At 50.3% G+C, this 21,223-nt stretch overlaps 1 long non-coding RNA gene across 1 annotated transcript; it reads left to right on the top strand.

Moving 5' to 3' along the window:
• The first annotated feature begins 8,645 nt into the window (after positions 1–8,645).
• On the top strand, positions 8,646–19,634 carry LOC107984911 (uncharacterized). Its single transcript, XR_001737879.1, has 5 exons — positions 8,646–10,273; positions 11,122–11,266; positions 12,513–13,017; positions 18,757–18,904; positions 19,091–19,634. It is a non-coding gene; the product is annotated as an uncharacterized LOC107984911 (long non-coding RNA).
• The last annotated feature ends 1,589 nt before the right edge of the window (positions 19,635–21,223 follow it).

The following is a 21,223-nucleotide window of genomic DNA, read 5'->3' as shown; positions in this document are numbered from 1 at the left end:
TGCTATTGTGATTCATGGTGCAGTGAACATAGGCGTGTATGTGTCTTTATAACAGAATGATTTATATTCCTTTGGGAATAGGTCTAGTGACGGGGTTGCTGGTTTGAATGGTAGCTCTGTTTTTAGGTCTTTGAGGAATTGCCATGCAGTCTTCCACAATGGTTGAACTAATTTACACTCCCACCAACAGTGTGTAAGTGTTCTTTTTTCTCCACATCCTTGCCAGCATCTGTTATTTTTTGACTTTTTAATTATAGTCATTCTAACCGGTGTGAGATAGTATCTCACTGTGGCTTTGATTTGCATTTCTCTAATGATTGTGATGTTGAGATTTTTTTTTTGTATAATTTTTGGCCGCATTCTTAATAATTTTTTTTATTTTTGAATTTGTGTTTTGTGGGCTGCATCCTAAGAGACCCTGGAGGATGACCGTGGACAGAGCAGATGCTGTGACACGTGTCCACTGTTTCTTGCCACTCTACAGGCATGCAGCATTCGTGAGGCCCCATAAATGCAGAATTCTAGGATACGTGGGAGCTCAGCAAGACTCAAACTGGGTGCAAGGTCAGCGTGCTACGTCTGCAACAAAGTAGGCTCTTGACAGCTCTGAGAGCTACTCTCTCCACTTGAACTAGAACTTGCTTCAAAAGCAGAAAGAATGCCCTGGCATCCTAAGAAACAAAAACAACCAAGGAGCCCTGTTGTATCTGTCCTAATTCATGTTGCTCCCTGTGTAGCCAACCAGTTATGCTGAAAATATGACATAAAAGGAAAGGCAGAGAGGCAGCCCAAGCTCCTTTTCCTTTCCGTCCTTCCGTGCTCATCAGGAAGCCCAAGGCAGGGAGTGAGGGTAAGTGTACCTGATCAAGAAGGGAAATGAAAACAGCTAAGTTGGCTTAGTACAGCATCTCCACTGTTCTAGTAAGAAAGGAATACATGTACAAGCTGCACCATAGGAATTGTGCAATTTTGGTGATTCCATCCATGAGATAAATGCTCTTAACATTTGCTTTTAAAGCTGGCATTGCACAGGATAAAGGTGAATGGTAAAATCCACACTAAGGACTTACAAGTAAAATTTTTCTTTACTTATTATGGGATTATGTAGCAAATGCATATCATCATCTTATTGAGATTATTTTTATTTGCTATGTAAAAATGCCTTTCTTCCATTGCTTTTCTCTCAACTTGTCAGGATGATTTTCATTTGCTATGTAATGCTAGGACCTTGAATGGCACTTTTTTGCACTGGGCCTTGCCAATGATGGAGCTAGCAGTGGTCACACCTTCCTGTTCTGCGGTTCTGGGGCTGAGGTTGCAGATGGGAGTTGTCCTCAGCTGGGCCTCAGTAACTCCTCTTCCTCTTGCCTTTTCTCATATGTTTCTTTCAGGCTGAGCTTGTTCTCAGCCCTATACAAAGCCCCACATACCACATAGAAGCTTCTAAGAGACAGATGACCAGGGTCTCCTTTCTGTAGACCTTTCTGCCAGAATCTGCCCCAGAGTTACTCAGGAACTCTTGGTGCATGTATGTATGTATGTATGCATGTGTGGATGGATGGATGTAAAGATGATGGATGGATGAATGGATAGATACATGGTGGATGTATGGATGAATGGATAGTTGAAGGATGGTCGATGAATGGATGGATAGCTGGATAGATGGATGGAAAGACAGATGGTGGATTTATTGATGATTGGATGGATGGATGGATGGATCATAGATGGAAAGATGGATGGATGGATGGATGGAAGAATGGTGACTAGGTGGTAAATGGGTGGATGGATGTGTGGATGGATGAATAGAGGGATGGTAGATAGATGAATGGGTAGAAGGACAGATGGTGGATTAATTGATGGATGGCTGTATGGATGGATGAACGCACGAATGAATGGAAAGATGGTGGATGTTTGGATGGAAGGATGGTGAATGGGTGGTGGATGAGTGGACGGATGGAAGGATAAATCTCTCATATATTCATTGAGTGCCTTCTCTGTGGCAGACACTGTTCAAGGTGCAGAGGATGCATCAGAGAACAGAACAAACAAAACCCCTGCCCCTGAGGAGCATAAGTGTGCCTAGAGAATGAATGAATGAGCAAACTAGCAAATGCTCCAAGGTGTCTGCCCCAGGAAGATTTCACCTAAGTTAGGCATGAAAGCAACACTTGTAACCAGGCCGTGTGCTACTGGGCACAGCCTGGTGTGAGAGAAGCTCTGAGAGTCATGGGCATTCGGAGAAGAGGAGTGAGGTGGGGGCCGTTGTGCAGGCGAGAAGGCTTCATGCAGGGTTGGGGTGGGGTGGGCAGCTCTTGACCAGGATAAGCTGTAGGATAATGAGAAGAGCTGGGGGTGGACCTGCCTGCCTGGGTGCAGGATGAATGAGGACAGTTTGGAGTCTCAGAAGCTGAGCGCTGGACAGTGTTGCAGAGACCTGGGGCTCGTGCCTAAAGTGAGGACACGGAGGGAAATGTCTGCAGCCCCAGTAGGCTGAACACCCACCACAGAGGCCTGGAGCTTCCCAGGCAAGGCTGGAAAGCAGCCCCACTAAGATCGAGGATCCTCTTCCTCCCAGCCTTGCCAGGGCGCTGCAAGGATCAACTTAGATAATAGGGGTGCACACACATTCCTAGGGCATCAGCGGTGGTCTTCTCCTGGGAGCGCATTTTGCCCAGGGGGACAGGAAGGAGAACCTGAGGCACTGAGCCCTGGAGGGCTGGTGGTGCAGGCAGGGTGAGGGTGTGGTGGAGGAAGGAGACCCTGCTCCTATGGCCTCACCCTTCTTGGGGAAGTCAGCTACTGACATCTCTCACAGATCCCAAATCCAGGGTCCTGCCTGGTTGTTCTGCTGGCCCTGGCCCTGGCTACCTTGCCTCCTTGCCCAGTACCTGATCAGCGATCAGTGTCCTGGTGTGCCCGGGTAGAGCTCCAGAGGAGCTGGTTGACTGGCTGGCAACAAAGTAAGATGGGCGCCAAGTGTCTGATGAATGGACGGGTTCTCTAGTGGCACCCAGGCCTGACACCCACAGGGCCTGGCCTGACCCTCCGTGGGTTGTAGGCATGGGGCTGCCTTTGGGTTTGGACAACCGAGTTCATTTTTCCTAGAAATCTGATGTTGGACACCAGCCTGGGTTTCTGTAATAGTTTTCAAATGTGCCTAATGCGGCCATAATCAGGGCCCCATGCAGAATTTGCGGAGATAGGTGACCCTGGTATTTTATTCCTTGCTAACCTTCAATTTTTGTTCCTGACCTTTCTCCATGAAATATTTCAATATAAATAATGCAGTTTTGCAAACACATTGCCCTGATTACTTTGTAGGGCCCTGATTCTCCATGTGTGAAAGTCTCTGAAGTAAGTAGTAATTTGTTCCCCTTTCTGGTAATTGCTGTTTTAGAAATAGCTTCTTCAGACGTCTGCCTCAAATTGGCATTGCCCTGACTCTCTGCGCGCTTGCCAGACGCAGCTGCTGTTTGCACGGCTCCTGCAAAGTCATGGTGCAGAGGCCTGGAGGCAGACAGCCCCAGGCTGCGGAGAGTGGGCTTCTTGCCATCACCTGGTCTAAGGCCTCTGCAGGTAACCCCTGTTTAGGTGCCCAGAGAGAAGAAAGAAGCCCCGTTCCTCTGCCTGCTCCTCTCAACTTTGAGGCTTGTAATGTCAACAGCTGCCAATTTAAGCCTGGGTCTGAGCCCAGCACTGACAATGTGCTGGCTGGACAGGTGGGGGCTGACTAGACAGGTGAGGGCTGGCTGGACAGGTGAGGGCTGACTGCACAGGTGAGAACTGGGTGGACAGGTGAGGACTGACTGCACAGGTGAGGGTTGGCTGGACAGCTGAGGGCTGCTTGGACAGGTGAAGGCTGGCTGCACAGGTGAGGTCTGGCTGGACAGGTGAAGGCTGACTGTACAGATGAGCTCTGAATGCAGAGATAAGGACTAGCTGCACAGGTGAAGGCTGACTGGACAGATGAGGGCTGGCTGGACAGGTGAGGGCTGGCTACACAGGTGAGGTCTGGCTGCACAGGTGTGGGTTGGCTGGACAGGTGATGTCTGGCTGGACAGGTGAAGACTAGCTGCACAGGTGAGGACTAGCTGCACAGGTGAGGTCTGGCTGGACAGGTGAGAGCTGACTGTACAGATGAGGTCTGACTGCACAGATAAGGACTAGCTGCACAGGTGAGGGCTGACAACAGGTGAGGACTAGCTGCGCAGGTGAGGGCTGGCTGGACAGGTGAGGGCTGGCTGGACAGGTGAGGACTAGCTGCACAGGGGAGGACTAGCTGCACAGGTGAGTTCTGGCTGGACAGGTGAGGGCTGACTGTACAGATGAGGTCTGACTGCACAGATAAGGACTAGCTGCACAGGTGAGGGCTGACTGGACAGGTGAGGACTAGCTGCGCAGGTAAGGGCTGGCTGGACAGGTGAGGGCTGACTGGACAGGTGAGGGCTGACTGGACAGGTAAGGGCTGGCTGGACAGGTGAGGGCTGACTGTACAGATGGGGTCTGACTGCAGAGATAAGGACTAGCTGCACAGGTGAGGGCTGGCTGCAAGGTGTGTGTGAAAGAAGTACAGCGGCAGTCCCGTCATGGAAGGAACTTGCAAACAGATTTGAACCTGGAACTTGTATATCACACTTGTCCCAGAGTTGCCCTTTCCTTTAATCTCCAAAATCAAACCATTCGTGCCCCCTTACTGGCTATGCTGCACACCCATGGTTCTTGCTGCTGATTCTCCTCTCTTCTGGAAATGCTCAGCACGTGTCCTCTGCAGGAGCGCTGTGTGGTGATGGGTTATGTCAGCCAAAGGAAACGAATCCAGGAGCCAAAGTGTCCACAGGCAGATGTCAGTTTTGTGAGGGCAGACCTGGGGACCACTGCCGTAAGGGCCTCAGATCAAAGACAGAAGACCACACCCAGCAGAGCCGTGGACAAAGGCACCAACCTAGAGAAGAAAAGTGGTCAGGGCTCTGCAGCTATGTCCTGCGGCAACTCAGCCCCTCAGGGCTGCTGCTGGGGACGCAGTTCTAAGCAGCAAATCTGAGCACGCTCTGCAGCCAACATCCCTCCCATGTCCTGTGACTACTCCTAGGGCAGAACTCCTCACCAGGCAGCCGACTCATCCTTCTATCCATTTTTTAATTAATTCATTCATTTATCTCTCTGCCCACCGTTCCTCACCCGGCGTGTTCATTTCTGCAGCCTTAAGAGCTCCACTTACTGCACAATCCACAATCCACCCTCCGTCAACATTGGCAAGTGACTTGCCCAATGACGGTGTCATCACACAGCTGGTCAGAGGCTGCATCTGGCTTTGAACCCGGGTCTGCTGGCCCCAGGGTCCCTGTAGCCGTCATGATATTTGTCCTCCATTCCTCCCGGAGAGCATCTCCTCCCCTTGGCAAATGCTTGCTAGTGCTTAAGAAAAAGCTCAAAGTGTCCCTTCCTCCATGGAGCCCTCAAGGCCTGCTCCAGGCAGTTTTCACACCTCCCTTCTCAGGCTCCCAGGATGCTCTGTGGTTGCTCCAGCCACACTGATGAGATCCTGTGATTCCGTGTTTGTCCCCTGAGGGCAGGGACTGGATCTCGTTGATCTAGATGTGCTTAGCACCCATGCAGGTCCTGGTATATTGTAGGTACTCAATAAATGCTCCAAGAGTGAATACATGAATGAAAGAATGTGCAGGGATGTCTCTGTGTGCCCTAGAAGGCCCTCCTCTTTGCAATGTGTGTGGCTGACCTTTCCACCCAGTGGGGTGCGGGCTGCCAATGTCACAAGTGGCAGACCTTTTTTTCCCTTCTCCTGGGTAACTGCTGTGAAGGAAGAGTCAGGTGGCCAGGGGCTTCCAGCCACTCCCGGGGTGGCTGTATCGAATCCAACAGAGGACTGCTGGGAGGGGAAAAGGGAATGTGAAGATGCGGGGATCCTTCCTCCTCTCTGAGGGGCTGGGCCTGAGTTCCCACTCACCAAGACTGAACAGAGCATGTTAATCCTCGGTGGCTATTTTGAGCCCTTTGTGATTAATTTCCGTGAAAGGTTAGAATCCAAAAGGAGGAAAAAAGTCGATGGCTAATCTATTAAGCTCCTGGGGTAAATTAATTTACATGTTTTTAATGATTAGTTTCTACCTGAGCATTCTAGAAATTAAGTGGACCTGAATCACGGAGCACATTCCCAGTTGGGCTCATGTAAGTAAGGACCAAGGTAGGAGGGTGGACACAGGAGCACCTTATCCGGCATGAGAATGACATGAGGGAACTCCCCAAGGCCCGAGCTCCTTGCTTCTCAGACATTTTCCTTGGCGATAAACTGCCTGCCTCAGTCTGTGGAGGACAGAGACTCTCCAATCCATCTTTTCTGGAGATAAACAAACCCTGCCCAAGTCCTCTGTGATGAATAAATGGCAGGAAATATCTCTGCCCATTTCTCCAACTCAAAGTGCAAAGTCGACAAGCCTCCACCTCCAGGGACTGCTGTACCCCAACCCAGTGAAGTCCCAGGCAGTCCCAGGGCAACACAGTTGGCCAGGGATGCAGGAAGAAGAATAACCAGGTGGCTGGGACCTCTTTTGGCAGGTGATTTGGGGCTAAATTGGAGGCTCCATAACGCTGTTTTGAGTTGCAAATAGTGGAGCCCCTGTTGGTTCCGTTGGTCACTGCACTAGGTTGAATCATGTCCTTCTGAAATTCATGTCTACCCAGAACTTCAGAGTGTACCTTATTTAAGAATAGAGTCATTGCAGATGTGCTTTGTTAAGATGAGGTCATACTGCATTAAGGTGGACTCCATTCAGATAGGATCAGTGTCCTTATGAGAAGAGAAGAAGAGGCACAGACAGAGGGGGGATGGCTGTGGGAAGATGGAGGCAGAGACGGGAGTGATGCAGCCACAAGCGAAGGACTGCCAGAGTCACCGGAGCTAGGAATGGATGAGGAAGTCTTCTTCCCTAGAATCTTCGGATACACGGGGTATTAGTTTGTTTTCACACTGCTATAAAGAAATACCTGGGACTGGGTAATTTATAAAGGAAAGAGGTTTAATTGGCTCACAGTTCCGTGTGGCTGAGAGGCCTCAGGAAACTTACAATCAATCATAGCAGAAGGCGAAGCAGGCACGCCTTACATGACGTCAGGAGAGAGGAGAAAGTGAAGAGGCAAGAGCCTCTTATAAAACTATCAGATCTCATGAGAACTCACTCACTCACACGAGAACTGCATGGGGGAAACTGCCCCCCTGATCCAATCACCTCCCTCCCTCAACACATGGGAATTACAATTAGAGAGGAGATTTGGGTTGGGGATACAAAGCCAAACCATATCACATGGTGTAAATGAAGCTACCCTGCCTCTCTATTGCTCCTGGAATCGAGGCTTGCAGAGGTGCCTGTCTGCACCCATCCTGGAGATGCATGCTCCCAGTTGTCCATTCATGCACACCCATGGGAACCTCTCCCGAGGTGGCGGTGGAGCACATGGGGACTCTGCCCACCCTACAGTGGTGAGTGTTGCGAGGAGTGGACCCTGGAGGGCTCTGCTGTTGTGGGGCTGTTTCTTCACGCAGCATGGAGGCTCTGGGATGACAGAACTGGCTTCTCCTCCTCCTTGTTACCCCTCCCAGTGATGCCTGCTCAGGCAGAGTGAACAGGCAGAGGGCCCACCCTCCCCTTCTGCACTGTCGTGGCCACACAGCTCCAAAGCCCTCTGCTCTGCACCTGCCTGGCCTCTCATCTCCCGTGGAACTCAGGCTTGCCCGCTGCATTCCCTCAGCATCAAGCAGTGTCCAGGGAGCATGAACAAGATAAGGGGCTCGGGCCAGGGTGTCTGAGGCCAACAGAGGGAGCTGCTTGCAGAGGAAAGGGCACAGGTTTTGGTTTCATTTATTCACTGTCACAATGCCGGCAGCACTCAGAGCCACCGCCAGGAGGGTTGCGGAGAATCGAAGGGGCGTGAACAGCTTTGCACCATGTGACTCTTTTTGATGATAGTCACCAGCAATACCTTCTGGGGACGGTGAGTTGTGAGGGCAGAGGACGTGTGTGGGAGATTCTGTCTGGGAAGCTTCTCTTCCTCTTCTAAATTTCCCCTGGGGAGGGATAGTCAGATATTTTTGTAATAAAGCTGCTTAACAAAACCCCCCAAATCTCAAAGGCTTACAACAGTGAACACGGAATTTTCTTGTTCGTGGTCTGCAGGTGGTTCTGCTGGAGGTGTGGGTCAGGCTCGAGTTGACTCCATGTGGCTGTCCTTCTGGGTTCAGTGCACTTTGGAGCAGGACACTTTCATGGCAGGTGGCAGAGGTGTTAGAGGGACAAGTGGCCTCATGCAATGCCTCTGAAGGACTCAGCTTAGAACTGGCACTTGGTTAGTTCTGCCACCATGTCATGGACCAAAGCAAGTCACAAAGCCAAGCCCACAAGGGTGGGATGGACAGAGTATCCATCCCCAGGAGAGCTGTGGCCAGGGAGGGGAGGGAGGGCAAAACTGTAGGCAAACAATACAATCCCCCCATGGGAATTATTTCCCTGTGTGTGTGCAGCCCTGCCCTCCTGCAGTGGAGGCTGAAAGGGGCCCTGGAGGTTTCCACTTAAACTATGTTGGCACTTGGAATAATAATACAAAGATCTGGCCTCTCACATCATCTAGGTACAACCACGGAACCTACAGTCGCTGGATCAAGCTCTCCCTGCCCAGTGCTGTGAATCATGACTGGAGTGAGGGAAAACTGTATAAATGGCTGCAAACCAAGCCCACTGGTTACAGACAGTGTCTGCTAGCTGTAGACCACGCCTGTTGGTTACAAACCAAGTCCGATGGTTCTGGGGCACAAGACAGTCCCCATGACTAAGAATGACCCAACCACAAACGCCGGCAGTGCTGTGGTGAAGGAGCCACGCAGGAGAATGGAGGTGGTAAAAGCAGGCTCACCGGGGTCAAACTGTCCAGTTTTAAGTTCTGGATCCAACTTTTACGAATGCTATGGACTTGGAAAATTATAACCTTTCACCGAGCCTCAGTTTCCCCATCTGTAAATAATGGGATGATAACGGCACCTGCCTCCTGATGCAGAGTTGGCTCGGCGCAGGGCAGCCAGGGCAGCATCCCCAGCCCTCTGCACCTCCGGACGGTGAGAGCTCCCTGCTTAATAACGAGCCGGGCCCGGGGACACTTACCCTCTGTCTTGCCTCGCATAAGTCACTTCATCCTTGCAAGGAGCAGTCTCTGGGTTCGTGTTAAAAATCGAAGCTAAAAACCAGTGATTCTTTTAAGGGTGATGTTGAGCTTAAACCATGTTGGGACTTGGAATAATAATACAAAGAAGAACTGACTCCAGGGAGGACTTTCTGGGCTAGCACTGTGCTTTGTGCCTGGCAAGCACCCTCTCGTCTCATCCTGGGAGTAAGGACATGTTAACTTAGCAGAGACGAAGAAATTGAGGCTCAGCGAGCGGGAGGGCCTTGCCGAGGACACAGCTGGCAAATGGCCGTGTGACCAGAGCCTGCACTTGCAGCGAGACTTCTGTGCTCGCTCTGGTTTCATCCTTTAAGAGGAACACCCTGCAACGGCCCCGGGGAAGCCCCCCTGCCTTCCTTCACCCCAGGGACCCCAGGAACATTAGCCAATAATGAGAATTTCTGGTTTCCCTCTCCCATCTCATGTCAGCGTTCGGCTAAAAACCTTCCATCAGCATCAACCCTAATGTTTTCAGGCGAGTCTTTAAATTAAATTCCGTGGAAATGGTTTCATTTCAATGAATCAGATTGGAATGGCTGGGAGCAATCCTAGCAGGAGAGCAGATGCTGCGAGGGAGGCACGGAACCAGGGCCAGCGGGCCTCTTGGCGTCTTCCCGCCCCACCAACTGCCCGTCAGCTCCCATTTGGTGGAGGCCGTCGCCCAGAGAACCAATAAGGGTGACATCTCAAGCATGTGAGCAGAACCACAGTTGGAAAGATAATGTTTGCTCAGCGTCCCGAGGCAGGTGCCCAGCAGAGCTTCCTGGCGGGGCCTCCGGGTGCAGCGCTGAATTGACTGTCTAGTCCCATTAGTGTCTGAGGCCAGCCTGGTCCTCGCAGCCACTGTCTGTGCTCACAAAGAACATGGATCTCTGGCTCTGACCCGAGGCCTCCAAAGCCTAAAGTGTGGGAGAGGCAGCCAGGTCGTGTCGCACGTTGGGACATCTCGCTATGCGACAGTGCCTACTCATCACTGCTTGAGCAGAACCCACCGTGCTTGCCCGGCCTCCGACCGTCCTGGGCTTGAACCCAGCTCCATTGCTAGGTGAATGTGTGATCTTCATCAGCCTAATTTCCCTGTTTCCAAAATGGGAGTGATACTTCCCGTCTTAGAGGACAGTTGTGAGAGGCAGGACGGGGCAGGGGCCAGAGCACCCACCCTGGACCTAGAATGCCTGTGTGGGCATCTCAGCGATGTCATTACCCACTGAGGTACCTGGTGGTGACTCATGTCCGATCAGAAGGACCTCCTTGGGGTTTTACAGTGTGGGATGAACCGAAACAGCATACACAAAATACTTCAAAGAGTCTCCAGAACATACAAAGCATCGGCCAGGCCATTTATTAGATCCTTCCTGCATCCCCACAGGCAGTGCCCAGGAGACGTTTGTGGGAGGAATGCAGGATCCTGTCACCTGGTCAGGAAGACACCGTCATCTGTCTGGGCTTGCAGGGGGTCAGAGTGGTGGCAGAGGGCAAAGAAGATGCACAGATGCTGCCTCCAGGGCCTGGGAGCATCACACTAGGTCCAGGGCTTAACACCTTTGCAGGACGTTTCGTGGCGGAGAAGGATGGGGCAGCATTGAGGGTGCAGGAGCAGCAGCAGCAGCAGCAGCACAGGCAGGGAGGCCTGGAAGGGCAGCTCCCAGGGGGAACCTGCGGCTGGACAGCTGCAGAGAGGACTGACCCAGACCCCCTTCAGTGTCGGGTATGGTGGCTCAGTGCCTCGGGCCCACAGTGATTTCAGGACTCCCGAAATGTTTTAATTGCTTTTAAAATCAAAAGGAAACACATGAACTTTTAGGTTGAGGAAAAATGTTTTCAGTATATAAATCAATAGATTCCTGTTTATACCAATGCCATTGTAATATATATGTTTTAATGTTTTTTTAGCGGAAGGAGGGCCCGGGAAACTCATGCTGTGACCTGATAAATGGCATGCAGAGGAGTGTGCGATTTTCTCAGGCCAGCCGTGGGGAGCTGTCAGAGCCGTCCAAATTAAAGACATTAAGAAAGGACCTTTGGAGATGGCAAACAGGTGGGTGGGGCAAAGGATCCTAGAGAGGATACATTCAAGGGGCGCCAGTGCCCCCAATGAGGCATTGGGCATGGTTTGTTCCCTTGTGGTGAGGATGGACATTTGCTGGGGGCAAGGACAGCAGAAGCTCCTTCCCTCTGCACCTGCTGGCCAGCAAAGGGGCGGAGCCTGTGGTCCGAGGCTCCCAGTTCTGTTCGGGAGTTGGTTTACCTGTCTGTGTACGATCTTCTACCTTCTACCTTCCAGGGCAGGGGCCACAGGAGAGTCTTGCCAATTCTTGTATTCCTGGAGTTGGGCACAGAGTGCCATTCTTATCAGGACTGGAAATACTTAGTTTTGAGTCATTATTGAATTATTCCCTTGACTTTTGAGTTAAACATTCCCCATGCCCATGGGAAGGAATGGCACACATTGTCCCTAGATCTTTGGAGGGGAGAAGGGGTTGTCCTCCCACTCACCAAGAGTCTGTTGGGTGCGGCCACTCTGAAGGTAGATAACTGTGCTGTAATATTGGGGGAACAGGCCTGAGTGCCATCCTTCCTGTTATCTTCCATCAGGGTGTCCCCTCGAGCAGGAATTTTCTCTCCAGAGTATACATGAGTTCTCAGTAGGTGGGATGGCAGTCAGGCCAGCCAGAAGCCAACAGGCCAATCCGTTCTCGGGGCCTTGGCATCAGTCAACAGAGGAATTTAATGAGTGCCTTTTAATCATTTATTCTAAAATGGATGAATGTTTGCTGCTAACATCCAAACACTCACATGCTTTATAAATGACTCAGCCTTAATTTGGAAAGACAGACGAGCCTTGATAAAAATGAGCCTGGGAACAAATGGCTTCTTTACTTAAAACTTGGACCCGGCCGGCGAGCGTGGGCTGCCACTTGCTGGGTCACTGTCCGGGTTAAGGACGCTGTCGTTAGTGGAGACAATGCAGGTCACAGCTGTGCAAACAAAGAGATGACAGAGGGGCATCAGGCACGGAAGGGCATCAGGCATAACAAGGAATGGGATTGGCCCCAGTGCCTGCCTCGACCTGTCTGGTGGCCACGAGCAGTGGCTTTGCCATAGTGTGCCAGGTAATGGAAACCAAGGACAGGCTGGTGACCATGGCTTTAACATATAAGGAGGGACTGAGTCAGGAGGACAGTGGGGAGAACTTCAATCACAACAGAAAGAAAGATGCCGTAGGGTGGAGATGCCTGGATTTCAGGAGTGCTTTTGATCATGATGAGTATTTGGGTTTCTAGGATGGTGGAATGGATTCTTTCTGTCAGATGAGAACTGGACAACATGACCTCACAAGATCCTTCTTTTCCTAAAGACTCTGGGACTCTGTGGATTCCTGGGAACCTTCCGAAGAGTCAGTAGAAGCGGAGCTCCATCACCCCCATATTCCACATTCTCATAACCACCAGCTGGATTTGCTCTCACAGTGACCTCTTTTCACTCCTTCCTGAGATGTTTCTTGAGCTGGAGACCTGGCTGAGCACTTGCATTTGTCTCTGCAACATCCATCAAACCATTTACATGAGTCTTTGCATCACCTGGAAAGCAGAGCCTGAAGCAAGGGTTCGAATGCGGATCCTGGATTTGGAAGGTGCAAGCCCAAGGTGGTGAGTGAGGGGTAGATGGAGGCCAGGCAAGAGAAAGTACAGAGCTGGTGCTGGGGTGCGTGACCTTGCTCTTCCATCTTCCACAAAGAGCCGCAGAGAAACTAGCAGGCATGAGAAAGAGCCGCGAAGAAGCCAACAGGTGTGTTTGCTCAGAACATGTGCCTTCTCTGGAAGATTCGTAAAGGGAGATGGTACCTTGGGGATGTCTGTGAAGAGGAGGAGGGGTGGGGACCTATCTGTCCCTCTGGCCTCCTATTTTCCATTGGGAGCTAATTTCCACGATCCCTTGAATGCTGTCATTGCTCCTCCAGCAGCTATAGGGGAAGCCAGACCCACCCATCACTCTGTATTGTGACATTTTATCCAAGTTTTATCTTGGAGGGACAACTTAGTATGCTGGGGACACTAACCAAGAGAGAGGGGAGATGAAGGTGGTTGATGGAACCTGGGACGGTGCCTAAAAGCGTCAGCTTATGTTTACAAACACCGTGCAGGGAAGGACTCTTATGTGAACAAGCTATGCGATAGGGCCCTGCCTTCAGGGAACTGGCAGCTGAGGAGGAAATCTCCATAGCCAGGAAATGACAGTAACTGGTGAATGAATCATTAAATAATAATAGCAAGTAGAATTTGGAGGACAGCTATGGGGTGCTCACAAGTGTGGCCAAATACACAGACGCCAAGTATCTAAGATCTTTTTTCCCTCTTCCATTTGCTTAGGATTTTTTTCAAAGCGCAGCCAGACTTTGGAGAAAGAGCTTGGATGTTGAGAAAAACCCTCTAAACTGACATAACTGGGTTATTTGGTTAAGTGAAAGTTGGACAAAGTGGGGAAAGATAAAAAAATGCAACATGGGTGCCATACATATTTTCGTTTTAACATGAAACATATAACACGATGTCATTTTGTTAGTCATTTGCTATAAGGCAAAGCCCTTTTCTTTGAGCACAGCTCCCCTGATTGGAATTCCAATCTCTCTCTCCCTCTCATAAAACACACTTGTAATATTCAATCTTTCATTTCTAGTTTAGGTTTCTTTGGGGTGGACTGAGAACTTGAAGTCATATATAAAATAATCTGAGGTTAGAATCCTTTTAGATTCATATGATTTATTTTCCGATCTTTCATGGTTGACTTGCCCAACCTAATTCAACTGCAATAGATTTAAGAACTTACCTTTATCTATTCTTTCCAAAGCAGTTGATGCAGTTTTCAGAGCTGCAGCTCTCTTTTCATACTTAGAGCGATGGGCTTATGTAATGTTTAACTCAATTACCTCATTACAATAACAAAGGCCACTGGTATAAGCAGGTTTGGGAACAAAACACAGAGGACTCTGGGTTGGTGCATTAGCTTCCTGGGGCTGCCCTAACAGGTACCACTAACCAGGAGGCTTAGAGCAACAGATATTTGTTCTAGATGCCAGAAGTCCAAGTGAAGAGGTTCCCTGGAGTGCTGGGTTGGTTCCTTCCGGAGGCTGCAATCTGTTCCACGTCCGTCTACCACAATTCTTTCTGTTTCTTGGCTGTAAAAACATCACCCCGGTCTCCATCTCCACCCTCACATGGCCTTCTCCTTGTGTGCGGCTGTCTGTGTGTGTCTTCCCCTCTTCTTATAAGGACACCAGTCATATATATTGGATTAAGGTCTGCTCTAATCCAGTAGGACCCTACTTAACTTGTTTGCATCTGTAAAGACCCTATTTCCAAATACGGTCCCATTTATAGGTTCCAGGGGTTAGGAGCTCACTGTATCTTTTTGGAGGGGTCTTTTGAATGAGACCCATGTCTTATTCAACCCTTCATGATGAGCTGCACATTCCAGTGGGAGCAGAAGGGCACAGGCTGACTGCCAAGCAGCCGGCCACTGGAAGGCCAGGGCGAGCACAGGGTGGTGGTGTGGTCTGCAGGGGGGCAGTCCAGTGAATTTGTTAAATGTAGTACAGTTAAGAGCGCTTCAGCCATCTGGGGTATTTGCAGCTCGGGATCCCACAGTTCTGGGATATCTTTGCAATATCAGAAGGACCTTAGCCTAAGGCTGGAATGTGGGAATCAGCTCCCGCTGCCTGGTTGGGGCCGGAGAAAGGGCCCAGTTCTCATGGGAAGCCAGAGGAAGAAACTTTCTCTCTGAGGGAACCAGAGGGTGTGGAGGGGCATCAAAGGAAGACCTTGGCCCTGTGGCCTTCGGCTATGACCATGGGCAGGTAAAGCCTTCAATGTCACCAGAATTCACCCAGGGGCAGTGGTTAGCCAAGACAAAGACCAAGCCAAAGTCTTCTTCCCACTGGTGCCTCCCCAACTTTCATCATCACCAAGTCATGACAGTTTCACTCCTTAAGCATTTCTCAAATCCCTCTGCTACCTTTTGGTTCTTTGAATCCCAAGCTGACCCCAAAGTGAGGTATGATAAAAGATTCCCTAAATCTAGCACTGGTCAGGGCAATCCAGGCCTCATCGGGGTTGATCCCAAAGGACCACGATCTCTCAACAAAAGTCAGGGAGAGGGAGGCCACAGGAATGCCTGGGCATGAGGGGGACAGGGCTGAAAGAAGGAGGTTTCTGGGAAGAAAAGCCGCGGAGTGTGTGTTAGATTCTTTCTACTGACCTCAAAGACTGTGTTGGCAGCCACAGAGTGAGGACTGAAGTTGACAGCTGGCTGTGTTCCTCCAAGACCTCGGTATACCTGCCTCTCTCGCCTTCTACTGTTGCAGGACGCATACCTGCCATCATCACCAGCCACAGTTTTGGCCCAGTCAGGCTGCTGTAACAAAACACCACAGACTGGTGGCTTGCCAACAGCAGAAATTTCTTTCTCACAATCCTGGAGCCTCTGAAGTCCAGGGTCAAAGCTCGGGCAAATTCAGGGTCTGGCGAGGACCCCTTTCCTCGTTCACAGACGGTGACTTCTCTTTGTGTCCTCATGTGGTGGAAGGGGTCAGGGGTCTCTCTCGGGGCTCTTTTCTATGGACACTTGTCCCATTTATGAGGCTCCACCCCCATGACCTCATCACCTCCCAAAGGGCCCACTTCGTCATACCATCCCCTCGGGGTTCAGATTTCAATGTATGGCCAGGCGCAGTGGCTCATGCCTATAATCCCAGCACTTTGGGAGGCCGAGGCGGGTGGATCACATGAGGTCAGGAGTTCGAGACCAGCCTGGCCAACATGGTGAAACACTGTCTCTACTAAAAATACAAAATTAGCTGGGCGTGGTGGCACGTGCCTGTAGTCCCAGCTACTTGGGAGGCTGAGGCAGGAGAATTGTTTAAAATCAGGAGGCGGAGGTTGCAATGAGCCGAGATGGTGCCCCTACACTCCAGCCTGGGCAACAAGAGTGAGACTCTGTTTCAAAAATAAAAAGATTTCAATGCATAAATTTTGGCAGGGGGTGCGCGAACATTCAGACCACAGCACACACCTTCTCCTGGGGCAGGGCACACCAATCTTTTGCTGCTCCCTGCTGCCTTGTCCTGGTTCCTTTCATGATTAGAACTTAAGAAAATGGAGCCTCAACACTTCTCCAGTAAAAAATGGCCTTGTGCAACATTGCCCGTGGAAACCAGGCAGACACCTTCGCGGGGTGAGGGGCTTTCCCGCCTTGGGTTTGGGCTTACTGCAGCTTCGTGCGTGCGGCTTCTCGGAGCAGCTGGGGCAGCCCTTTGCTTGGCAATGTTCTGGTTAGAGAGGAGTGTGTGCCCTGCTTAGCCCGGGGACTGAGGTGTGAGGATGCTTTGTACTAGGGTTGGGATGCCTTCTGTCTTCACGCCCACAGCCCAGGCTCTGGGACAGGCACAGGACCACAGGCCGGCAACGTTGTGAGACCAGCACAGCTTTTCTCCAGTTCCCTTAGGTGAGCAGCTCTCACCGTGGGGCAACCTGTGTGTGTTTGTAAATGTGTGTGTTTGAGCACAGATGCATCTGTGCATTTGGCAGGCAGTCGGGGGGTGGTGGAACCAGACATACCTGGATTTGCACCTCCGCTGTGCTTTTGGCCAACTCTGGGAGCTCGCTGTTCACGGCACCTGCCATCCCAGCCCCTTGGCCTTCCGTCCTGAGAAGGAAGAAGAACAAGGCTCCCCTCAGCACTGCAGAAGCTGGAGGTGCCCACCTCAGTGCCTCCCACTCCAGGACTTGAGTGGACGCTCGGGCAGAGAGCAGGGTCGGGTTTCGAAGCCTGCCCCTCTCACCAGCCCTCTGCATAATCTCCAGTAGTGCCAATTCATTTTTCCCATCCTTCCACAGTTTACTTATCTGTAAAATGGGGATAATGACAAAGGTTATTCAAAGAATTAAATAAGATCACATGTGCTATTTAAACACCCACTAGTGTGAGCTGTGGCTGTGATGAGGGCTATAAAGTCTCCTGGAACCTCAGAGACACATTGAATTACTATCATTGCTACTATTATTAGTTGATGAGTAAGTAATTTTTGAGTGAGACTTTAAGATGGGAGGCAGAGCTGGCACAGAGAGCCCCCCTCACCACACAGCATACACCATAAAGTGCACACACACACACACACACGTGCAAGCTCACACACACCACCGTCCACATACACGTGCCAAGGCTAAAAGCAAGAAAGCAAAATTCCAGGGTCCCAGAAAGCAAGAGGAAACCGGAGCCGTGAGGGCACTAGAAGCCGGGGGCTCCTGGGGTCGCTGGGCCAATGAGCAGGGCCTGGGTTCGGGCTTGGCCTACACCATGGGGAGAGCCGAGACTCAGGCCCCGTGGAAGAAATAGCAGAAGTAATGAAAGGGATAAATTACACTCCGGGAAGCACAGAAAATAGGACAACTTCAACGGAACGTTAAAATAAGTGTGTTTAAAGTATTTCAAGAGATAAAGGGAAGAAAAGACACCACAAAGCAAGAACACGACATTATGGGAAAAATACAGCAGGGGAGTCTGAAAGGGAAGAAAGTAGAACCGCAGAAATTAAACGAAATGAAACGAAGCGGACACGTTGACCGCCAAGTGGAGTTAGTGATTTGAAGAAACCATTCAGGAATCAGACAGAGGGGCTTCAAGGCTCAGACAAAAGGAGGAGCACATTCAATGTCTACCAGACAGGAGGTCCCGGAGGAGAGCCTGGAGCAACTCAGAAGAGGCAATATTTAAAGCCACCAGGGCTGAGAACGTTCCAGAACTGATGAAAAGCATGAGGCAGATGGGAAAAGCAACACCTTGAGCAGGATAAGGAAAAATAAATCCCCAAGTAGACACAGTTTTGCTTCACGTTTGGTGACTGCAATTCAAAGAGAAAAAATTTAGCTTCCATCAGAGGGAATAAAAGAGCAATTTCGGACACTGCTGGGGGGGATGTAGATTGATAAACCTTTTGGGGAAGATAATTTGGCACAACAGATACACAACCTTTACAGAGCCCACAAAACCATTTACTTGTGATATTCACTTCTGGAAATTTGTTCTAAGAAAATAATTGTTGATGTGTACAAAGATTGAAATTTGGCTGTGTTTGTCGTGGTCAAAAAAGAGGAAAGAACCTAATTTATTTCTAAAGAAATATATACAAACTATGGTACTAGCCATAAACCAAATTTTATGACCTAACCATAAAAATTATACTTAAAAGAGTATTTAATGATGTGGCAAGATGAACATGAAATATTATGAATTTGAAGAAAAAGCAGATGGCAAAACTGTATGTAGCATGTTCTTACTTTGGCTTTGCATGAATTCGTGTTTGTGTGTGTTTGTGTGTGTGTGTGTGTGTGTGTGTGCGTGCATGTTTGTAATTAGAAGGATTTGACTGACATTTTACCGTCATTTTATTCTGGGTCTTTGTGTTTTGTATATATGTGTTTTCTGCGTTGTCTATAATAGACACGTATTAATATTGTTGTAATGAATTCCCAGCCCCTTGTAGACTCCTTACTGGGAAGACCACTAACAGCACCAGGAGGAAATGCTGCAGCTTGCCTCAAATCCTGGTCCAGCCGCGTGTCTGCTGGTGACTACAACAACCCTCTTAACGGATCTGAGCCTTCGTTCCCTCATCTGTGAGGTAGGGCTGAGGGTGCTGTCCACCTGCCCAGGCTGGTGGGGAACGTGCAATGAGATGATCCCTGTAACATGCTTGGCATGAAGCTAGGCACAGTGTAGGTGTGAATATATGAGAGCTGATTAAATTAACCAACCTTATTCCTCCGCATCATGACTTACCAGCTACTACCCCACCTGTGTCCTGTAGAACCAGGCTTGCAAAGCCTCTGCTACATACTAAAGCCAGGGAGAGGCCACTGATGGGCAAAAAGAGGAGGACAGAGACCTGGAAAACACTAACAAGGGCCCAGTATATGCATAGGAAGCAGACGGCTGATGTTCAGGTGGAGTTCAGGTTCAGTATGCTCCAGCAGCACCCATCGGAGAACCCATTGGTAAGAGGCTTTGGAACAGATGATTTTCTAAAGCTATAACTGTGGGTGGCTTATAGGGGTAGTGTGGCCACTGTGACACATAGGTCCCATGCCATACAGGACCTTGGAGCCCTGTCCAAAGCAGTGATGGGAAATGCACGTGACTGGGGGCTCTCAGTCTAGGGGAACTAGGAGGGCTTCAGATCCCAGAGCCTGGCTGAAGCCCCAGCAGGACCACAGTGATGTCTTGTCTTGGGAAAGTGTGTGCCCTGCCCCCAGAGACACCTGGACTTTTCAGCTCAGCGCTGCGGCAAGCACCCTAGCACATGCCACCCAGGGCTTCCCAGAGGGTGGCCCCGAGTCAGGCAGTACACTAAAGGTTGGGACTCAAGTGGAAAGTTTGCTGAGAGAGTGAACAGGGGAAGTTGTTGATCCTGGCCTCATCTGCCATTGCTCTCTGGGCACCCTGGCGCTGAGCCAGCCTCGGCTGCTGGCCTCCCTCAGCTGCTGGCCTCCCTCAGTTGCTGGCCTCCCTCAGCTGCTGGCCTCCCTGCTGGGGGTCTGCACCAGGTAGAGTGCTGTTTGGCTGAGATTCACACACACAAAAAATCTCATTAAGCGGTGGATTAAACAAAATTGGGGCTTATTTCTTTCTCTTATAACAAAAGCCCAGAGGTAGGTGGCTGTATTAGTCAGGGTTCTCTAGAGGAACAGAACTAATAGGATCTACGTATATACGAAAGGGAGTTTATTAAGGAGAATTGACTCAAAGGATCACAAGGCGAAGTCCCACGATAGGCCGTCTGCAGGCGGAGGAGCAAGGAAGCCAGTGGTGGATCAGTCCAGGTCCCAAAACCTCAAAAGCAGGGAAGCCAACAGTGCAGCCTTCAGTCTGTGGCCAAAGGCTCAAGAGCCCCCAGCAAGCCACTGGTGTAAGTCCAAGAGTCCAAAAGCTGAAGAACCTGGAGTCTGATGTTCAAGGGCAGGAAGCATCCCGCGTGGGAGGAAAGATGAAAGCCAGAAGACTCAGCAAGCCAGCTTCTTCCACTTTCTTCCACCTACATTTTTTAAGCTGCGCTGGCAGCCCATTGGATGGTGCCCACGCAGATTGAGGATGGGTCCACCTCTCCCAGTCCACTGACCCCAGTGTTTATCTCCTCTGGCAACACCCTCACAGACACACCCAGAAACAATACTTTTCATCCTTCAATTCAATCAAGTTGACACTCAATAATCACATCAAGCATCCAATGGACAGTCATCTGAACACCTCTCCAGATACATCGCCACTGTGCAGGGCTTGGGCTGGCAGAGGGTGCTGCATAAAGACCCAACTTCAAAAGGGAATGAGAGAAACAGAGCAGTTCATGATGCCCCAAGTCTCCCTTTAAAATCCTTCCGAGCAGGAATTATCACAAAGACTCCCCACCCTGGCAGCAGGGTGAGCTCCTTGGTGACCCCACAGGCAGCCCTGGCCCTGCTCTCTGAAGCACTTCCCGGGCTTGTCATCCCGTGTCCCCTGGCTTTGTGCCCTGGAAGGCCCTTCCTTGTGCAGCACCCCTCATGGCTCAACTGAAGCAAGCGTAGGATGCTACACTCCTTGGGCAATACACAGATTTTGCAGCCATCTTCTCCAGATATAGTTTTGAAGACCATCACAGGCTATTGTAGGCCCCACTTGTGGCACATTTTTGGACAGTAACAGCCCCTCAAAATGTATTTGCTTCCTGTCTGTTCCATGTGCAAGTAACCATCCCCTCAATCTGCTTACAGTCATGATCTTAAACGGACCAAGTCTCCTTTTCTGTTTCCAGGATTTCTTGGTTGACCAGGTCTACGCTTCTGCACTAGTTCTCAAGAGCTGCTGTAACAAAGTGCCACAAACTAGGTGACTTAAAACAACAGGAAGTGATCCTCTTATAGTTCTGGAGGCTACAAGTCAGAAATCAAAGTGTTGGCAGGGCCAC

Source organism: Homo sapiens, chromosome 1 (assembly GCF_000001405.40).
Source record: "Homo sapiens chromosome 1, GRCh38.p14 Primary Assembly".
Classification (NCBI taxonomy): domain Eukaryota; kingdom Metazoa; phylum Chordata; class Mammalia; order Primates; family Hominidae; genus Homo; species Homo sapiens.
This window is presented reverse-complemented; position numbering and strand designations above follow the sequence as displayed.